The 22,453-nt window shown below is 42.1% G+C and overlaps 1 long non-coding RNA gene and 1 pseudogene across 7 annotated transcripts in view, besides 1 other annotated feature; one reads left to right on the forward strand and one right to left on the reverse strand.

Annotated features, from left to right (window-relative positions):
• Nucleotides 1-1,861: 1,861 nt before the first annotated feature.
• Nucleotides 1,862-22,453, reverse strand: part of LOC124901339 (uncharacterized) — an 84,723-nt gene continuing 64,131 nt past the window's right edge. For all 7 annotated transcript variants that reach the window (XR_007059640.1, XR_007059635.1, XR_007059634.1 and 4 more), the window contains one exon: nucleotides 1,862-2,148. This is a non-coding gene — a long non-coding RNA (uncharacterized LOC124901339). The remainder of the gene's footprint in view (nucleotides 2,149-22,453) is intronic.
• Nucleotides 1,979-2,246: a silencer, noted in NCBI's record as "fragment chr6:71961178-71961445 (GRCh37/hg19 assembly coordinates)". NCBI's record gives its function as "represses an EF-1alpha promoter that drives an FKBP-Casp9 reporter gene in an ReSE screen in HepG2 liver carcinoma cells {active_cell/tissue: HepG2}" and the evidence as "EXISTENCE:reporter gene assay evidence [ECO:0000049][PMID:32094911]".
• Nucleotides 2,068-3,517, forward strand: LOC100132834 (coiled-coil domain containing 112 pseudogene; annotated as a pseudogene).

Genomic DNA, 22,453 nt, shown 5'->3' on the forward strand with positions numbered 1-22,453 from the left:
GTATGATGGAGGGGGTGGGTCTTGCAAAGACAGACTCCAAAGATGTGAGAAGACCATGGATAATAAACCTGAATCCAGTGTGCCAGTCAAATGTGTTGCCCTGAGCTTCTTAAACTAAATGCATTTGCCCTGTGCATAGGAAGAAACATCTGCATAGATGGATTGGGGCAAGTTCATCACCGCCAATAATTGATAATTTAAAATATTATCTTATGTTAGAACAGAGGTATTATGAGATACAATTTAAAAGTCATAAGATTTTTAAAAAGAAGAATAAGAATGTAAAGAAATCTATGTTTGCACTGGTTAGCCACCCTCCAGTTATGGGTACACATCTAGCTGCCTCTGACTTAAACATATTCATATGGACATGCTTATTTTGGATCAGAAAGTGGGTATCTAAGGATGGAGTCAGAATGGACAGGCAGAAGTACCACTTTAGGAAGCTTGAAGCATCTCCAGAGACCAAGGCTGAAATCCACACAAGGCTGAATAGATATGCTAGATCCCTTCATCATTCCCTCCCTGCTTCTCTTCTCTTCATAGAACTAAAGCACAGAATCATTGAGTTTCAAGATTCAGAGAGTTTTTTTTATAGAACCATCAAGTCTAATCTTATTATATGAAAATTGCACAAGAGTCTTAAGAAGTGGTTTTCAAGCATCTTTTGGCATACTTTCAATGACAGGAAACACACCATTTCGTAAGACAGCTCTTTCTACCTTTCAAGAATGTGAATTATTTAGGAAATGTGAGCTTGGTATGAGTACTCGTTTCTGAAGTCAAATTGTAAGAAGGAAAATTGGCCTTAGAAATCCACTTATCCTAACTTCTTATTCAGTGCTCTTTTCATGAATCTGTAGTAGATATTCTTGCTTCTAAAGTGGTCTAAAGAAAACTGGGTTGACAAAACTCTGAAAGGGAAGTCCTAACTCAAGCCAGGGGAAAAATAGCAAATGACATCACAGGAAGTTATGAAATCTAATTCAGTGGAGAAATATGCAGAGCTTTTGACCATCTCCTAAGACTGGGACAGGAAATTCTTACTCCACTTTTGGGTTGCAGGGCTTGTTTACGAAGAATATTTCCTCCTTTGTTATTCCCTTTGGACCAGCTTGCAGATTACTCAAAGATACTCCATTGCCTCGGCCTGGGGGAAATAAAAATCTATTGTCCTATTAAATAAAATTAAAGGATGCACAAAAAAATATCATAATGATTCTAGAATTACTCTCAATTCTAGAGAGTCAACTACATGTCACTTTCAAAATCATCCTAGGGCATTATCTCAAAGTGATAAAAACATTTCACTTTTAATTAAGCAATTGATTCTTCTCCCTTGTCAAGTGCAGAACTTATGTAAAGATTTTATTGTACTCTATACATTCTTTTCACAATATCTACCACTTTAGTGTATCATCACTACTCCCATTTAATGCCCTATTAACTGAAATCTTGAAAAGGATATAGGGCATATGAAAGCCAACCTTATTTAGGGATCTATAGCTTGACATTCAGTTCCTGCTCATCAGCCCCTAAAGTGAAGTTTTATAGCAGATGTGCTCCATTTCAACAGAGTGCATGAAGTTCTCGGTCAAAACTCTTCTTACAGAGACCTAGAAGGAAAATAATCCTACTCATGCAACAGCAGAGGAAAGAAACCCTAGTGATCTACACCTTCTTTTTAAAACCTGGCTGGACAACAAAGGATAAAGAGAAATGTGAGAACTGTCAGCAGCATTCAAAAGAATAAGCAAGGTCAAAATACAGAAAAACTGATCTGAGAAACTAGAAATAATAATCTGAGCCACAAACTGTTCAAAGTTTACGTATAATAAGTTCAATCATTAGAACACCCTTATGAGGTAGGTACTATGTTACTTTATTTTACAGATGAAGGAACTAAGGTACAGCCTCTCCTGCCCCCAGGCTTAACCTCATGGTACAGGAAACCATCTGTAGGGTCTGTAGTTTCCCCATCTCCTCCCAGCCAAACCCCCGGTCATCTTGGCTTGAGTGGTTCCAGAGGCTCCACCAGGAAACATGGTTGCCCTCCTGACTGTCTTGGCACAGAATGTTGGTTGTTTTCATCCTTCAGGTAGAATTTAACCTTTTCAGCTTCAAACTGGAACCAGAGAGCTATTCAAACTAAGAAAACAAAGTTCATATGTACAGCAGTAAAAATTAAAAATCAAATTGTTAACATAGAGTCATCTCTACAACAACAACAACAACAAAACTTCAGAATTTGGCAGTGTGCTGAAAGAATTGGAAAATAAATTGATTATCAGCAGGAAAATAGAGCAAAAACCCAATAACAGTTGTTCAAAATATATAACAATGTAAAGTGACTTTAGCATCAGTTATAAAGTGTGACACCTACACCTGATTTTGTTGCAAAGCTCAGAGAAATGAACCTAAGCAATTAAAAATACAGTAAACAGTTTTAAGAAAGAACAGAGGTTGATTACATGAAAAGCTTAATAAAGACAAGAAAATAGCCAAAAATTAGTTGAATACTGTATCAAGGAAAATTGACATATGGGCTTTGGGTCACTAGAAACATGGAGAACTTTCAGAGGAATGTTAAGCAAAGTTCCTGTAGACAGAATACAACAAAGTAGTCTTCCAGGAGAAATGGTAGATTTTGCAAAATTCCTTCAGTAAACAGGAGGATGTCAAGGGTGCTGGATGATTGTGATCACCAGAACTTTGTAAAAATGAGAAACAAACATAAAAAGAAGACAAGATATATAGGGAAAGTTTTGCAACACCATCCTGGAAAAGCACAGGATAAAGTGCAACAGTATGAAAGATACATTAAAAATGTCTGACTCTAGAAGAGAGGAAAAAAAATCTATTCAAAATTGGAAAACTAAAAAACAGCAAACAGGGAGAATACTTTCAAGTTAAAGGGAAAGATGAAGGATAAGCCAGTCCTTCCTCAAAGTAAACAAGAATGTAATCACAAGCAAAAAGAGGAGCAAAAAAACCAAATTGGTGATTGAAGCTTAGAAAAAACAGAAAAATATTTAAGTGTCAATTAAATATGCTTATATTTTAAGGAAGCTAAAAGAGGAAGAAGAGAAAGAGACAAAGTGGCAAAAAAACCATCAATGTCAATGTAAACTAAAATTACTACCTGAAAGTAATACCCAGCAGAAGTAAAAACAGGAAGAATTTTTGAGGCTTGAAAAGGAAATAAAGGAAAAGGCAAAAAAAAAAAAAAAAAAAAAAAAAAGGAAATCTGTGGCTGATGAAATCTCCAGGTTTCAAGAAAGAGACTGATATAAACTTGAATTGAAAATTATAGATGGACAGGCAAAGGAAGGTGAAAAGACAGAATAACAAAAAGACTATCACAATTAAAAGATTGAAAATCATCAATATGAGATCCCTGCAGGCTTTCTAAGTTTACCAAAGGTTGGAAAGAATTAGACCGAAAATATTAGACCAACAAGTTCTGGGTCATTTCTACATGACCCACACAGGGAGGGCTATTGCTATCTGGAGACGAGTAAAGAGAAAGATATGAGATAATGAAATTGGTATTTACGCGAGGAGAATGTTAACATATTCAATTATTCTGGCAGATATAGTGACTAATTGTGTCCTTTAAATATCACTAAACTAGTCAGATTGATTATTAATTGTGCTGTAATGTGAATTGACAGTTCCATGCTGGCATCGTCATCAGTATTTCCTGTTTACGCTGAAGAGGTATTTAATGCATGTGTTGGTTTATTACCAACATAAAAGTTACTTAAATAAGTTTATTTACATACACTTAAATGTTCATTTAAATGCTCAGAACATTTTGAAAGTATTTTGTTTTTGTCATGGCATAGAAAAACAAATTGGGACAATCATAGAGTGACAATTTTTAAACCAAAAATTTTACAACTTTCAGAAAGTAGAGGTAAGCTACCTTGAGAAATAAAAATGTAAAGGTTTTTTTTTTTTAGTTACAAATCAGTATCTTTTCTAAGTTTAACAAATTGGTAGTTTTAAATTTTTGTGTAATAGGTATTTTATATCTGTTTGAAACACACAACCAAAAAAAAACAAAAGAAAAACAAAAAGAAAAGAAACTGTAGGGGAGAAAAATACCTTTTCCTTCTACCCATCTTAGGTTTATTGGTTGGGCCCCTGTAACAAAAGACAGATTAACAAGAGAAGAGCACATCTATTTATTTCATATAAGTTTTATGTAACACAGGAGCCTTCATTAGGAAATGAAGACCTGAAGAAAGCGTTCAAATGTGAAATGGGAGTGGTTTTTATAGCAGGTTTGAAGAAGTGTGGACAGTTGTGCAGAAATACTATAAGGTGGAGTATGAGGTAAGTGTAGTAAACTGGTGGAAACTTGGCAAGGCCTGTTTGTTCAGATGCCACTGTGTTCATCTTTGAAGACAGGATGTTCCTTCCTCCCAGGTATAGGGAGGGTACCTCTCACATCAGAGTTTTAGGACCTGCTTCAGAAGGTCAGAAAATTCCTTCCAGGTCAGAGAGACCTTTCTGCCGCTCCTGCCATTTTCTTAATCATTATGCCAAGATGTCATCTTTTGGAGTACTGTGTCCTGAACTCCATCAAAACTAAGGCACAGACAAGTTCCCCAAGGTTGTAAATCCACAGCAGAGCTGAGAATCAAATCCAGGCTGTCTGGCTTTAGAGTCCATCCTCTTAATCACTAGGCAGGCTGCCTCCTAATAGAAGAAAACGTTTAAAATCTAACTAATGTTCTCATGGATATTTGAGAAAGTATCATGACCTTAAATCAAGAATAGGATACTCAAGAAAGGAATAAATAGAGATCAAGAAAGAGCTCTTGGAGCTTTAAAATGGGAATGAGCAAAATAAAACAATTGAAGTACCAGAAGACAATTTCCCAGATCTGCCAAAATAGTAGTTGCATGGGATTCAGTTTATGAACCACCCCAGATCCGCAGTGACTGAATCTAGCAGTGACAGCTGCTGTTCCCATGGTGATGAAGTCAGGTCACTGCTTCTGCCGCTGCTGCTGAAAGGGGCCTGCTGTGGCAGCTGCCTTTGGTCCCTCGTGTCACCTAAGGACATGACCTGACAATATCTTGCCTCCTGCCCCTGCAGGATCTTTTGCTTTCTACCCTGGGGACTCATTGTTGCTGAGGACTCTCTTGACACCAATAACTATGCAACCTGTAAGTGTATAGGAATTATTCCATGGTGCAATCTTTGCCCAGAAGGAGATGAGACTGGGCAAATCACACTTTCTTCTTTTTAGAAGGACTGTGTGGAGAAGCATATCTTTAAACTTCCTTTCTGAAGCTGCCTTGTCCACTCAGCAGTCGTCAGCTTTTCACAAAGCTGTGGCCTCAGTATTTTTCTCCCTCTTTCAGTGCCTCACTCTGATTTTCTCTCATTCCTGCTTCTTGGTTATTAAACTTCCTAATAATAAATTTTTACCTCAGGTGCTGCGTACTAGGACACCTAGCCTAAGACAACAGTCTTCAGATGAGAAGGGTCCACCAGGTATCTGGAAAATGAATGAAAAGACCATTCCCTAGACAAAGCAGCATGAAGTTTCAAAGCACCAATAAAGAAAAGATAAGAGCTTCAATATTGAAAAATAATATATTAATGGCAAAGGAACAAGAATCAGTCTGGAATCAGCAACCGTGAAGGCTAGAAGACAGGGGAGCAGGACCTTCAAAGTTTGTAATCAGCAAAACTCACAGCCAAGGGTGAAAGCAAAACAAAACAAAACAAATTCAGACATGCTGAACATCAGATCATTTGTCCCACACATATCCTTTTTTAAGAAATTACCTGAGTGTACTCCAGGAAAACAAGGGTATATCCAAGAAAAAGAAAGACAGATTCAGGAGATAGGGATTTCAACCTGAAAGGGAACTTCCTGGATAACAGACATGCAGAAGACTAAAGACAAAGACTGTCAGATTGGCCAAGAGAATAGAGGGCTGTGGAGAAAAGGAACTTCATGGAATACTATGACATACAGTCTGAAAATATGAAGATTATCAGGGCAAATCATGCAAGAACTAGAGAAAGGTGATTAGAGGTTTCAGGCAAAAGTATATAAGAAAGTCGTTATTTAAAAATGATGAAATGATAATGATGCATAGCTTTAAATAATTGGGGAGTATAAAAGAAGGTAATCCATTTGATCTTGATGCTTGGAATTGTCCAACAGTTGCCAAGGGGTCATAAAATTAGATAAGGAAGTGTAGTTCCAGCCCATTATTTGGCTCAACAATAAACAGTGCTTACAATGTAATAGCAATATAAATACTGCTTATATTTAATAGCAATAGTGATGCTGTTTGTTGGTTTCTGTCTTTTAGCATGAATTTCTTTATTAAGCAAAAGAGCTTTGGTTATAGAAGAAGGGTAAAAGTAACTGCAAAGCCCAAGTTACAGTGTCAGGTTCGAATCAGCCTAGTTGTGCTGACTCTGATTGGGGTGGGGGTCGGGAGCTCTTCACAATGATTCAATGGCCAGTTAAATGCTTTTGGATTATGGCAAGACTTTCACACACCAACAACCATGCAAATATGTTCAACACACACAGGCAGTCATAAGAGAGACAGGAATGAACCATGATGAGTAGCTGACTGATGAACCAGGCAGGTCCAGATTTCCCTGGACATGCAACCAACAGGGATAGGGGTGGGGCTGGGGGTGGGGTGGTTGTCTCTTTTCTGGCAGAGCTTCTCGAGGCCACTGCAGATGGGAAGAAGCCCTCAGAGTTCTTGTAGGCAGAGCTTCCGCAGATGTCTCAGCCGTAGTCAGTTTCTTTGCTGTTTTTATGACCCTCTGCCGGAGTGTGGTGGTCATTACCTCAGCCACCTCTTGGCTTCACTTTCTTGTAGGGTCTCTAGGTGCCTGGCCACAGCAGGTGCTATCTTATCACCTCAGTCCACCATACCCATGCTTATCACTTTGAGGGGCCAGCAGTTTCACAAGTGAGCTGAGTTACTTGTCATAAGTGACTCCATTTTGGACATTTAGGATCACAAAATATTATGTATCACAAGTGTAGCTGATATAAGATAGGAGGTGGAAAGGCAGGGAAGATAAGACTGTTCACTGTTTGCTTTCTGCCAGTCAAGACACAGGATGAGGAGTTAAATACTTTTGAAAGTTGATGGGGAAAAACCCGGAGATTTAATTTTTATTATTTAAAGTTACAAGGATAACTGACATAAAAATGATATAAATTATAAATACTAGAAGGGGAAGAGGGAAAGAAGAGGATGAGTTGTGTTTCGTGAGCTACACTCCCACCTTTCAAAGTCAGTGGACATTGTCTAAATGTGAAACATCTTGAAATGGAAGCATAAGCATACTACCTAGAGTTCTGGAGATAACAGAATTAAGGACAGCAATGGCCAAAAGAGGGCACTTCCGGTGTGTGGGGCTATGTATGAGTAAGGAAGAGGGCACAAAATTTTTCTCATAAACTTTCTGAATATTTTGATTTTTTACTTGACCATGTTTCATTTTTATAGACATAAATACTAAATTATTTAAAAAGCTGTCAGCATATATTGATAGATGGCAAATTAAGCCACAAGGATGGACTGAAATCCTTTGAGATAGAGTACAGTGAAGAGTAAAGAGGGATACCTAGGATAGTCTCCCAAGGCGTTTCAAAACTGAAAGAAAGATGAGGCAGTAAAATCACAGAAAAGGCACAAAAAGGAAGGTTAGAGTAAAACGGGAAAGTGTGACAAGGAAACCAGAAGAGGATGTCCTCAGCTATCTCCCAAGGCTGCAGGAGGGAGGGAAAGATTAAAGACCAGAGGAGGCGAGCAGGCTGGCTCCAGACACCATCAGAGGTGTTCCCCGCAGAGGACACAGCCGCATCTGCAGCAGGCAGAAGGAGCGGCAGTGCTGTAGTTACAGTTAGGTGTGCGGCCACCAGGAATTTAGAAGTTCCTGCCCGAAAGCTCTTCGTTTCTATTAAGGAAGAAGCCTGTGTCTGCAGAAAGAGAACAAATAAGTGGACTAGGACTTTGTTTGTTGTGTATCAGTTTTGCAGCACTCAGCAGGGCAGAGAGGCAAGGCAGGCAGAGAGCTGGATTCATCCAAGATTGGGTTTTGGCCAGGTGGGTGCAAAAGGTGAATAGGTATTTCTAGGAGCACAAGAAGGGGAAGGCAGAGGTGGGCCAATTAGCAAAAGGCTAATTTGTCAAGGCCTACTTCTGTACATAGTGAAAATAATTTCCATTATGTAATAAAGAAACTTTTTTAAAAAATGCAAAGCAGCCAAGAGGATTGCGTGGTAGAGTTCAAACAACAAGAACCACACAGATAATGTTTATATTCGAGATTTATGAACCTAAGGCAGGCTAGAGGAGAATCCCGAATGCCTCCTGCTAAAGCTGAGGCAATTGAGAGTTCCAGGATGTAGGGATGATTTCCTACCCAAACTCAGTCACAGTGGACAGTAGAGAAGCATCCTAGAGAAATTAGGCCAGACATGAAACACTTGGTGAAAGCACCTCATGTTTAGATGCCACTGAGGACTGAGAAACATGTGATTACAAACTGCTATGACATGATTCCATGGTGATGGGAAGGGTGCATGAGCATGTGGATTATTCTGGAAAAGAGCTTGGGATCCCTGGAGTCAGCCAACTGGACAATGTGCCTCCCTAGCCTCAGCTCTGCTCGGTGGCTCAGGTTTCTCCTAGAGGCACAGTGGAACCTTGATGCCGACGCTGGCTCAGGAAGAGAGCCCAGCCAAGTGATGGCCAAATATGGTCCAAAGTCACTACCATTTTGCAATGACTCCAAGAGCTGCTTCTGACTCAGGTCCCTTAAGAAGGTCTGGCAGTCAGTAAGTAGTCTGTGGCATGAAAAGAAAGAGCTACCCATACTGGGTATATTGGGGAATACAGGGCACTTCTGAAGGAGATTGTGATGTGTAGTGGCCATACACCACCCTACTGCCAAACACCCCATAAAATAAGACTTGACTGAAATCTATTTACTGTTAGAGACTAGGTCTGTCCTCTTCTCTTTGTTTGCTGTTGTTGCCTGCAAGCTCAGGAACAGCATTTAATGATACGCTGACACATGCTTTTTGTGCTAGAAGCTGAGAGAGGAAAAGTGGGGACTCTGAGTGACTTGGGTTGACAGAATCCCAGTGGACAGCATGTGACAGCTTCAACTTTGCTTCTCAGCTACTAGGATAATTGCTTCGTTATGTACTCTGTCCCTGCTCTTTTGCAATCCCAACAACAAACGGTTCCTTTGTGGTTTTTTTTGTTGTTGTTGATTTGAACATTTGTTTAGGATTTGTATGTGCCACGCACTGTGCTAGATACCAGAGAGGAAAATTTTAATAAAGACAAGGGCCTTAGTCACGAAGGCTTAGGGTCTACTCACTTTTTTTCTAAACTGGTGAAGCACTTTATGTGCATCTCCCTTGAGATTTTTATCTCCCTTCACGCTGACCTATAGTTATTTATTTACATATCATCTTTTGTCTTAGGCTTTTGGCCAGAATTTGCAAAATGGCTGTGGTGAATGCATTTGATATGTAGATGTATTTTTTTCTTCTCCCTCAAAACTTAAAAAAACTAGAATTAGTTACTGCTTATAAAATTTAGAAGTCTTTAATAAAAATGATTCTGGCTTCTCTTAAAATATTAGAAGATCTGCAAAACTGGGTGCAGATTCCCACATTTGGAGCTAAGTAGAGGCTGGCCCTTTCAAACTGAGCATGAACTTTCTGTTATACTCCAGTTCCCACCTAATGGCTTTGCCCATCTATGATGCCCTTTTTTTTTTTTTTTTTTTTTTTGAGACAGAGTCTCGCTCTGTCGCCCAGGCTGGAGGGCAGTGGTGCAATCTCGGCTCACTGCAAGCTCCGCCTCCTGGGTTCACGCCATTCTCCTGCCTCAGCCTCCCCAGCAGCTGGGACTACAGGCACACGCCGCCACGCCCGGCCAATTTTTGTATTTTTTAGTAGAGACAGGGTTTCTCTGTGTTAGTCAGGATGGTATCGATCTCCTGACCTCATGATCCGCCCGCCTTGGCCTCCCAAAGTGCTAGGATTACAGGCGTGAGCCACTGCGCCCGGCCGCCACTGGAAATATTGAGACTGGTTAATTGAATATGATTGTAGATTAAGTGTGAATTAATAAGGAATTAGACTACTCCAAGTGGTGACTGGGAATACATGAGAAGGGAGGGATACACAGAGAGAGAGAGTATAAAGCAAGAATTTTCAAGATTTAGTGACAAATCTCAGGCATGGATCAACCGGAATAGTAGTTATGATCCTAAGAGGTCAGGGGAGTGATGGTGTTGATAGCAGGCATGATTGGCAGTGAGTCAGATGTCCTTTACCAGATGGTGCATACATCCCCAGCTACCTTGAGAGTTAACTGATAATGGCTCATAGTTGCCCCCTTCATGGCATCCTCTAGGGAGATAGCCATCCACAATCAATAATTAAGGAACATGGATATAAGAGGCAATCCTTCTTGTGTCAAGGTGGGATCAATTCAGTGGTACGATTTATGCTCCAGAGCCGCCCATGGGATCAGGTTGAAGCTGGACTCCAGCTGGGACTACAGCCTAATTTAGCTCCTTCCCCTGCCCTATCCTGCTTACCCTTCCTCCTTTCACCTGAGAGCCCTCTCTCAATAAATCATGCACACCAGAGTCTCAATAAATTGAGCACTTCTTGGAAATGCAGACTTAGTGTGTATAACAGAATGAGGTGGTTTAAAACTTGGGAAATAGCTAATGTTAGGAAGAGGAGATCTGGGAACTTCTCCCTGTAGGATTCCTTTTATAATCATGATTTTATCTCTAGCTTGACAGCACAGGGCCTGGCATACACAAAATGTGCAGCAAATTTTATTTCATTTGTCAAACAAATTTGATTTGGAGTTCATTGAGTTTGAGGAAACAGGACATCTAGTATGAGACATGGAACATGGGCACAGGAAAGTGGTTGTGGCTGGAAATTTAGATCTTTTAAAGAGAAGGAAGCAATTGAAGAGAGAGATAGTAATTAGTGTCAAGTGCAAATAAAATCTTGATTCTTTTCAATGTAAAAGCAGCCAACATTTGTCTTTACCTCAATTAGGTACGTAACTCCAATTACTCTATATCAATGAGTTACGATCCTTTAGTAATGTTTAGGCAAAATTCCAATTAATGAGTTTTGCTCACTGCTAGTAAGTAGGTCTAGTGGAAAAGAAGATTAACTTTAGATTGGGAAAGTATTTATGGATTTTGTTTGTCTTCTGTATTTCTATTGCCAAAAGATTGAGTGAGCCACTTGAGAATCTCTTAAAACAAAGAAATGTGCAGAATATATAAAATAATCAAGTATTTATTGTACTTAAAAGATTTATGTCTGTCTCTTTTCACTGAATTAATTATATTTTCTGAAAAAATAGAAATTGAAAAAAAAAGTCACAAGCATTCAGGTGTCCCAAAGATAACATTATTTATGTTTTCAAATACAAGGCTTCCACTATCCCCAGAAAAGTGGTTTTGAATGTTTTAAACCTTAGTTGTCTAATTTCATCCCATAAACTGTAATTATAGCTCTTTATAACATGCTAAATAATTCCTCCTAGTACTGGATGTTTATACCTTTCAAATATTTATAGGCTGTCATTATTCCTTACTCATCTCTTCACAAAGTTGCACATATTTTATTCCTATAATGTTTTTTCACAAATCAATTTCCTCAATACTAAACTGCTTTTCTTATTTCTCCATTCAATTTGTCTCCATCTTTTGATATAGTGCTAATCAAAGCAAATGAGATATTTCAGGCACAATTTATCCTAAGGTTGTTTGAGAGCATTAAAACTTTCTCATTGGGGATAAAATTCCTCATTTATATGTAGCTCAGAATAGTGCTGACTTTATTGGTATTTTTGTCACTTAACTTTGAAAATTCATAACTAATTTCCCATGTAATGGTATTCAAAAATATCTATGCCATTACTGTTTCTTCACTGATCAAGGATTATGTAGGAATTAAATGAGTTCAGAATATATTTCTGTAATTTGTTTCTTATATGCAATATTGAATCACATTTCCAGCTTCGTTATATCTATAAACAAAATTCTTATTTCCCAGTGTCCATCCAAATCAGTAATATCTGGAAACTTAAAAAATATTATTTTTACTTTAGATTGCTCAAAGAGATATTAAATTCTTGCAACTTCATTTTTAGTGTTTCAACATAATTATTTTTTCCCACAACTTTTCAGTTGGCTAGATGATGTTATTATTATGACAATTTGTTAGGGCAATTCCCTTTGCTTATTATGCCTTGAGCATCCCACTGAAATCATTCATATATATATATATATTCATATATATAAAATACCCTAAGTATAACAGATATTGTATAAAAATAATATAAAATGCTCAATGTTTTCTTCTTCAACCTTATTCCTCAACAACTGTATCCTGTATTTATATATTGCAAGTTTTAAAATATCTTCACATCTCTTCTTAATTTAAAAGTCTACTAGGGGTCCCTAATACCCTCAAAAATAGTAACAGGTCTGGGCTCTGACGGTCCCACTGAATCTCATTCCACTATATCTTTCTGGTCTCTACTGTTTTCACTCCACCCCATGAGCTCTCTACCCAACTACATGCACCAACTGGGAAGCCTTTTGAAGAATCCCACAGAATTAATTGTTCCCTCCTCCCAGTTCTTGTTGCCTTAATTTGCACCTCTACGATAGCTCGTTTCCCTGAAAGATTTACTGCTCTTTGTACATATTGCTTGTCTCACACACATCATTATGTGAGCTTATTTTTCCTCTGCCCAGTGCCTCCCAAGAGTAATATTTAATAAATAACTGTTGAATAGTGGCAACTCCAGATTTTACTTAGAATTTGGGGTGACAGTCCAGCTGGAAACTGGGAGACTGGTCCTGAAGCTCCAACTTCATGGGCAGAGCAAACACACTGCCTTTACTCAGGGTGCTTATTTGAGGGTAGTTTTTGGTGGACTGAGAGAGGTCATCAGTGGAACTGCCCTTTGGTGTAGGAAACAATCAAGTGAGGAATGAAGTAGAAGACAGTCAAGTTTAAAATAGTGAAATGATGTGCAAAAGTCACCCCATGAAAGATGGAAATTAGAATCTCGGGCTCTTATTTTCTTCATGGTATTGTTCCCATTATTTTTTATTTCATTTTGCTCTAGGTCTTTCTCTTGCTCTTGAATCCTATTGACATCAGACAGAGGAGAGGACATTTTTCTACTCTCATGCAATCTGAGAGACAGTGTCACCTTTTCCTATCTTGGCCCCATAATCAATCAATGTCCAGTCAGAAAAAAACAGAAGCCACTCTAGGTATTTCGAACAGAAGGGATTTCATACAAGGAACTGGTTTCAAAAGTGTTGGAAGGCCTGAAGGAGCAAAAGGCCAAAGGTGTGCAACACAGAGCCAGTGACTACAGAAAGTCGCTACCAGCCCTGGCTTGGCTGGAGGAACCCAGGGGCAGGGAAGACCTGGCGGCGGGGGTGGGGGTTGGGGGCGGCTCCCAGCAGACATGGCTGGGGGCCTGAAACCAGGTTGCCACCAATCCGATTGTCACTGTGCTGCAGCTGCCAAAAGCCGCAGAGGGCTCAGCCTGCCGGCTTTACTGCTGTTTTTCTGCTGCTGGAACTGTGGACAGTCCTGGAACCACAGAAGGCTACTATTGCTGTCAGAAGCAGCTAGAATTACAAATAAATAAACAAAATAAATATTTTCTTTTCCTTCATCTTTCCAATGTCCTGCCAGTGCTTCTTTTTAGAATAACCTATCCAAAAATCATTTGGCTGAGAAATTTGGGAAATTTAATTTTCCGTAATGAAAGGGAAGAAAGGAAACTGAAAGAAAAACTGGCAAATAAGCATCACACACATTTATCCCACAAAATATTTGGCATAATTCTAGTCCTCTGTTTTCTTCTCTGATAACAAAATAATCATAGCAAGTTAAGTTTTCATATCAGTATACCTTAACATTTATAACTTGGTAAAAATAGTTTTAACATATTCAAACTTTCCAGGTGTTTCTTTAGATAGGCATTATCTACAACGCATTCTATAGACTATATCCTAATGAAATGGTTCAAGGCCAAATGAGTTTGGGAAACTCTGTACTTTATACCTATCTCTTGGAATTTCACACTTCATATTAGCATAGTAAAGGCTCTGAGAAATCCATTAGTCTCAAATCATGTTTGACATTGTTTGACTTTGTAATCTATATACCTTAGTGAACAAAACGGTCATAGTCCCTGATACCTGGAGTTTCTGGGGGAGAGGCAGAGAATAAAGTAAGCAGAGAAATGTGTGTATGTGTGTTATGTGTATAATTTACTTTTGTGTTATGGATGAAACAAATAGGTTGCAGTGATGGAAAATACAGTATCATAAAGGGGAATGAACTCATCAGACAGCATGGTGAGGACAGACTCTTGGAGAAAGTGACAGGCTGAGATCTTAAGAATCAGATGGAATCAGTCACATAGAGTATTCTAACATTGTTACTCAGTAGAAAACTGTTCCTGGACCCTAATGAGATCTGTACAGAAACTGAGAGGAAGCATTTGTAACATTTATAGCAATTTGATAAGACTAACTTTATGTCTGTTAAATCTAAAAATAAAACATTCTTTAAAATTTTTTTCTAATAGTTGGTTTTTTTACGTATAATTCTCTGATAGATTGGGGGGAAAAAGATTTGATCCTTCCCCACAGAGAGTTTGAGAAACTCTGTTCCAGCAGAAGTAAAATGTGTTTGCAAAAGCCCTAAAGAAGGAAAGAGACTGCTGAGTTTAGGAACTGACTATAGGCTCATGACTGGGAACACAGTTGTATGCAGAGCTTTGAGGACAAAAACATAAAGGGACTTGATTTTATTCTGTACAATGGAGAGTCACTGAAGAATTTTCAAAAATTTAAACTGACACTTGATATAGATGTTAAAAACAATCATTCTAACTGCTTTATGAAGAAAGAGTTGAAATAAAGTGTGTAAAACAATGGATCAGTTCAGAAGCCTTTAGAAGTTTGGTGGGAGATGATGCTGGCTTAGACTATGACAGTGATGGGTTAACTGGAGGAGAATTGGAAGAGAGCTGGCACATACCTCCCTTGTGGGTTGGGGGCAAGTGAGGAGAGGGAAATGGCAAGGGGATCAGGAAGATGCCCAAGTTTCCCAGAGGAGAAGTTAAGGCTGGATATATACCTTCAAGGATGATCAGCATTTAGTTTTCATAGCCATGGGGACTAGATAATATTGAAGATACAGTAAAAGGGAAAATGTTGAGAGCCCAGCACTGAACCCTGAAGAGTATCTTTGGGCCTTCTACGGCCCTAAGGAGGAGTCTAGCTTGAAGATAACCGATTACCTCAAGGACATGTAATAATTCCTACATGTTCAGATTTGTGTCTAGATATCTCTAACATTAAATCCCATTCAGTACATTTACTGAGTATCTATACAATTTAAGAGACCATGGAAGGTGTTGTAAAAGATATAATCCAAACAAGCAAACTTTAAGAGTTTGATATCTGGAAATATGTACAAAAATCTAAGATATGTACAAAAGTGCAAGTCAAATCTGACAGATGCTATAAGAGAATTATAAAGCAAAATGGGAATCTACAGAAGTCAAAATGGAAGATTTAATGGATAAGGTTAGCATTGAGCTGGTCTTGAAAGAGGTGCATGAATTTTAATAAAAAAGAGATCACATGCATATATACATATGTGAGTGTGTGTGTATAAATAAATATATATATTTGCCCCATGCAGCACGTACTTACATTTATGTCTATATCTACATTAGTCTGTGTATATATATTTATGCGTTCAGAGTTCCAATCCAATTCTAGTTCAGCAACACAGTGTTGTTCTTTTTTTTTTTTTTTTTTTAATTGATCATTCTTGGGTGTTTCTCGCAGAGGGGGATTTGGCAGGGTCACAGGACAATAGTGGAGGGAAGGTCAGCAGATAAGTGAACAAAGGTCTCTGGTTTTCCTAGGCAGAGGACCCTGCGGCCTTCCGCAGTGTTTGTGTCCCTGGGTACTTGAGATTAGGGAGTGGTGATGACTCTTAACGAGCATGCTGCCTTCAAGCATCTGTTTAACAAAGCACATCTTGCACCACCCTTAATCCATTCAACCCTGAGTGGACACAGCACATGTTTCAGAGAGCACAAGGTTGGGGGTAAGGTCACAGATCAACAGGATCCCAAGGCAGAAGAATTTTTCTTAGTACAGAACAAAATGAAAAGTCTCCCATGTCTACCTCTTTCTACACAGACACGGCAACCATCCGATTTCTCAATCTTTTCCCCACCTTTCCCCCCTTTCTATTCCACAAAACCGCCATTGTCATCATGGCCCGTTCTCAATGAGCTGTTGAGTACACCTCCCAGACGGGGTGGTGGCCGGGCAGAGGGGCTCCTCACTTCCCAGTAGGGGCGGCTGGGCAGAGGCGCCCCTCACCTCCTGGATGGGGTGGCTGGCCGGGCGGGGGGCTGACCCCCCCGCCCCCCTCCTGGACGCGGCGGCTGGCCGGGCGGGGGGCTGACCTCCCCGCCTCCCTCCCGGATGGGGCGGCTGGCTGGGTGGGGGGCTGACCCCCCCACCTCCCTCCCGGATGGGGTGGCTGGCCGGGCAGAGGGGCTCCTCTCTTCCCAGTAGGGGCGGCCGGGCAGAGGCGCCCCTCACCTCCCAGATGGGGCGGCTGGCCAGGCGGGGGGCTAACCCCCCCACATCCTTCCCAGATGGGGCGGCTGGCCAGGCAGAGGGGCTCCTCACTTCCCAGTAGGGGCGGCCGGGCAGAGGCGCCCCTCACCTCCCGGACGGGGCGGCTGGCCGGGCGGGGGGCTGACCCCCCCACCTCCTTCCCGGACGGGGCGGCTGGCCGGGCAGAGGGACTCCTCACTTCCCAGTAGGAGCGGCCGGGCAGAGGCACCCCTCACCTCCCGGACGGGCAGGTGGCCGGGCAGGGGGATGATCCCCCCACCTCCCTCCCGGATGGAGCGGCTGGCTGGGCAGGGGGCTAACCCCCCCACCTCCCTTCCGGACGGGGTGGCTGGCCAGGCGGGGGGCTGACCCCCACCTCCCTCCCAGACGGGGTGGCTGCCAGGCGGAGACGCTCCTCACTTCTCAGAGGGTGTGGCTGCCGGGCGGAGGGGCTCCTCACTTCTCAGACGGGGCAGTTGCCAGGCAGAGGGTCTCCTCACTTCTCAGACGGGGCGGCCGGGCAGAGACGCTCCTCACATCCCAGACGGGGCAGCAGGGCAGAGGCGCTCCCCACATCTCAGACAATGGGTGGCCTGGCAGAGACGCTCCTCACTTCCTAGATGGGATGGCGGCCGGGCAGAGACGCTCCTCACTTTCCAGACTGGGCAGCCAGGCAGAGAGGCTCCTCACATCCCAGACGATGGGCAGCCAGGCAGAGACGCTCCTCACTTCCCAGACGGGGTGGCGGCCGGGCAGAGGCTGCAATCTCGGCACTTTGCGGGGCCAAGGCAGGCAGCTGGGAAGTGGAGGTTGTAGCGAGCCGAGATCACGCCACTGCACTCCAGCCTGGGTACCATTGAGCACTGAGTGAACGCGACTCCGTCTGCCATCCCGGCACCTCGGGAGGCCGAGGCTGGCGGATCACTCGCGGTTAGGAGCTGGAGACCAGCCCGGCCAACACAGCGAAACCCCGTCTCCACCAAAAAAATACGAAAACCAGTCAGGCGTGGCGGCGCGCGCTTGCAATCGCAGGCACTCGGCAGGCTGAGGCAGGAGAATCAGGCAGGGAGGTTGCAGTGAGCCGAGATGGCAGCAGTACAGTCCAGCTTTGGCTCAGCATCAGGGGGAGACTGTGGGGAGAGGGAGACCGTGGGGAGGGGGAGAGGGAGAGGGAGAGGAGGGAGAGGGAGAGGAGGGAGAGGGAGAGGAGGGAGAGGGAGAGGAGGGAGAGGGAGAGGAGGGAGCCACAGTGTTGTTCTTTCTCAAATGTACAACTGGCTCTCACAGTTTAAAATAAAATTGCTTTTTTTTCAATGTTAGTATACACAAGTAGTTTCAGAATTGCTAACTCATACCCCTGTGAGAAACACATTTATTAAATAGCACATAGCAACTAGGTACAATAGTTTTTTTCTTTCATTTTAGTAGAATCCAATCAAAATACTGACTTCTAAAAGTTACTTAGGTTAGTTCTGTTCTCCATCTGTGTCAGTGTGGTAATGTCACTCATACGTTAGACTAGTAACATTTGATAGTTTGTATTCCATTTTGGGATACCCCCACATCTTAGTATATTTTTATTTAGTTTACATAGAGTAAAATCCACTCATTGAGTTGTATAATTCCTCAGATTTTGACAAATGCTTAGGGCCATGTATCCACTTGCACAGTCATGACACAAATCAATTCTCACCCCAAAAGTTCCCCAGTGCTGCTCCTTTGTAGACAACCACTACCCGCACCTGCAATCTTTGGCAACCACTCATCCGTGTTCTGTCACAATTTTGGTCTTTTCCAGGAAGGTACATACATGAAATAATATGGGTCTGTCTACTTTCACTTGGCAAAATATACTTGAGATTAATCGATATGCTTGCAAGCATCAATAGTTCATTCCTTTTTACTGCAGAGTAGCATTCCATTGTGTGGCTGTATCATGGTTTGTTTATCTGTTCACTGGTTGAAATACACCTGGGCCACACAGTTTGGGGTGATTATGAATAAAGTATGATAAACACTCATGTACAGGTTTTTGTGTGAACATAAGTTTTCACTTCTCTTGGGTGAATACATAGGAAGCTTTGAATTTTTTTCCCTCTTTGTGTTTCAGTTTGGGTGATTGCTATAAACTGATGCTCAAGTTCACTGATTCTTTGTTACATCTTCTGATGTGCCCATTGAAGGCATTCTTCACTTCTGTTGCTGTGATTTTCACTTTTTGCATTTCAGTTTGATTGATCCTTATAGTTTCCATTTCTCCTGAAATCACCCATCTGATCTGGCATGTTGTTCTCCTTTTCCACTAGAGCTATATCATATTACTCATAGTTATTTTCAATTTCCTGTCAGATAGTTCCAACATCTCTGTCATATCTGGGGTCTGGTTCTGTTGACTGCTTTATTTTTGACAGTGTGTTGTTGTTTTCTTTATCACTTTTTTGTATGACTTGTAATTTTTTGTTGAAAGCCAGACACCTTGTTAAGGACAGCAGAGATGAGGAAAATAGATTTTATGCCTGAAAATGCATACACCTGTCTGTCCTTCTGCTAGGATTCTAGAGTGTGAGTCTGCGTTAGGAGTTGGGCTGAGTTTAATTCTCTTCCTCCACTGTAGTGGTTACCCTTAGGGCACCACAAGCATCAAATTCCTTTAGTGACACTTTGTGGTTCAGTTGGGGGCTGGTTTGCCTGTAGTTTTTTCAATTCTGCTCCATCTTCAGCTTTAGATCTTCCCTTTGCACTGTACCTCAGAAATGGTCTGTGCCCACACTCTTGGGCCTCTTCCAGCAACATCCCACTGTGACTTGCTACTCCACTTGTGAGCCTGGTGATGGGGAGGAGGAGCTCTCTGTCCTATTAAGCCCTATCTTAGGCAGCAGTGTGTATGGGGATGTGGTCTTCTCATAGTCCTCTCTCTCCCTCAGCTGTAGTTTAGGGCCCTGTAGACGTTCTAGTGTGGCACCCAGGATGGGGTGACCAACCCCTCCCAGCTTGTCAGGGACTTTTCCAGTTTTAGCTCTGAAAGTCCCATGTCAGTCCTGGACAAACAAACTAGGAGTAGAGAGTGCTTTCTGTTCCTCAACTGCAATGGGTTTTCCCCAGGGTCCTGAGGGTGGCAGCGCTGGCTACCCTCCTCCTCTTAGGTGAAGGCTTTTGTTCCACAGGAGAGATGAAGGAGAAGGTCCTGGTGGGGGGTTCTTGCTCCTTTCAGCAGAGGCTGCTCTTCTGCTTTCTCGGTGTGCTCCTGGTAGGGCTCCTGGAGAAGAGCTTGCAAGAGAGTGCAAACTCTCCTGTACCCGAAGCCCCCAGGGGCTCCACATTCTCCTAGCAGCCCACATGCAGCCTCTACCAATTCATTAACTATTCTGGCTGGGTTATTTCTACCAGTGTCTTACTGTGTCTGCCCCAGATACCACTACATACCATTTCATACTAGGAAAATGGCAAAAAATAACCTGAAACAACAGCAACAAAACCAACTGACAATATCAAGAGCTAACAATGATGAAGCGCAAGTGCAACTGTCATATATTGTTAGTGGAAATCCAAAATGGTACAGACATTCTAGAGCAGTTTGGCAGGTTTTTTATTTTATTTTTCATATTTATTTATTTATTTAGTTTAAAGACAGGGTCTCACTGTAGTGCCCAGGCTGGAGTGCAGTGATGCAATCATAGCTCACTGCAGCCTCAAATCCTGAGATCCTCCTGCCTCTGCCTCCTGAGTAGCTGGGATTATAGGAGTGAGCTGCTGTGCCTGGCAGATTCTTATAAAGTTAAACATACACTTGCCATATTACCCAGCAATCCCATTTAGCCTAGAGAAATAAAAATATATGTTCACAGATGAAAACCTAGATACAAATGATTACAGCATCTTCACCCACAGTCACCAAAATTTGGAAACTATCCCAATGTCAATACGTGAATAAATAAGCAAGATGTAGTCCATACAGGAGAATACTGCTCAGGAATAAAAAGGAACTAATTATTGATATGCAAATAACATGAATGGATCTTGAAGGCAGTATACTGACTGAAAGAAGAAAGTCATAAAATGTTACATACTGGAAGACTCCGTGTAAATGACACTTTGGAAAAGGTAAAGCTATGGGGGGAACAGATCAGTAGCTTACAGGGGTTAGGAGTGGGAGAAGTGATGACTAAAAAGAACTAGTATTAGGGTAATTTTGGTGATGCTGGAACTGTTCTGTATCCTGATTGTGTCAGTGGTTCCATGAAGCTATACATGTGTTAAAACACATAGAATCAAGATGGCCAAATAGGAACAGCTCTGGTCTACAGCTACCAGCATGAGCGACACAGAAGACGGGTGATTTCTGCATTTCCAACTGAGGTACTGGGTTCATCTCACTGGGGAGTGCCAGACAGTAGGTGCAGGACAGTGGGTGCGGTGCACCGTGAGTGAGACAAAGCAGGGCGAGGCATCGCCTCACCCGGGAAGCGCAAGGGGTCAGGGAATTCCCTTTCCTAGTCAAAGAAAGCGTGACAGATGGCACCTGGAAAATCAGGTCACTCCCACCCTAATACTGCGCTTTTCCAACGGGCTTAAAAAACGGCACACCAGGAGATTATATCCTGCACCTGGCACAGAGGGTCCTACGGCCACGGAGTCTTGCTCATTGCTAGCGCAGCAGTCTGAGATCAAACTGCAAGGCAGCAGCGAAGCTGGGGGAGGGGTGCTTGCCATTGTCGAGTTAGTTGTTTGATTAGGTAAACAAAGCAACCTGGAAGCTCGAACTGGGTGGAGCCCACCACAGCTCAAGGAGGCCTCCCTTCCTCTGTAGGCTCCACCTCTGAGGGCAGGGCACAGACAAACAAAAAAACAGCAGTAACCTCTGCAGACTTAAATGTCCCTCTCTGACAGCTTTGAAGAGAGTAGTGGTTCTCCCAGCATGCAGCTTGAGATCTGAGAACAGGCAGGCTGCCTCCTCAAGTGGGTCCCTGACCCCCGAGTGGCCTAACTGGGAGGCACCCCCCAGTAGGGGCGGACTGACACCTCACACGGCCAGGTACTCCTTTGAGACAAAACTTCCAGAGGAATGATCAGGCAGCAGCATCTGCGGTTCACCAATATCTGCTGTAATGCAGACACCGCTGCTGATACCCAGGCAAACAGGGTCTGGAGTGGACCTCTAGCAAACTCCAACAGACCTGCAGCTGAGGGTCCTGTCTGTTAGAAGGAAAACTAACAAACAGAAAGGACATCCACACCAAAAACCCATCTCTACGCCACCATCATCAAAGACCAAAGGTAGATAAAACCACAAAGGTGGGAAAAAAACAGAGCAGAAAAACTGAAAACTCTAAAAATCAGAGCAACTCTCCTCCTCCAAAGGCATGCAGCTCCTCACCAGCAATGGAACAAAGCTAGAAGGAGAATGACTTTGATGAGTTGAGAGAAGAAAGCTTCAGACGATCAAACTACTCTGAGTTACGGGAGGAAATTCGAACCAATGGCAAAGAAGTTAAAAGCTTTGAAAAAAAATTAGATGAATGGAGAACTAGAATAACCAATGCAGAGAAGTCCTTAAAGGACCTGATGGAGCTGAAAACCAAGGCCCAAGAGCTACGTGTCGAATGCAGAAGCCTCAGTAGCCGATGCGCTCAACTGGAAGAAAGGGTATCAGTGATGGAAGATGAAATGAATGAAATGAAGTGAGAAGAGAAGTTTAGAGAA

The sequence above is a fragment of the Homo sapiens genome, chromosome 6 (assembly GCF_000001405.40).
Source record: "Homo sapiens chromosome 6, GRCh38.p14 Primary Assembly".
In the NCBI taxonomy this organism is placed as follows: domain Eukaryota; kingdom Metazoa; phylum Chordata; class Mammalia; order Primates; family Hominidae; genus Homo; species Homo sapiens.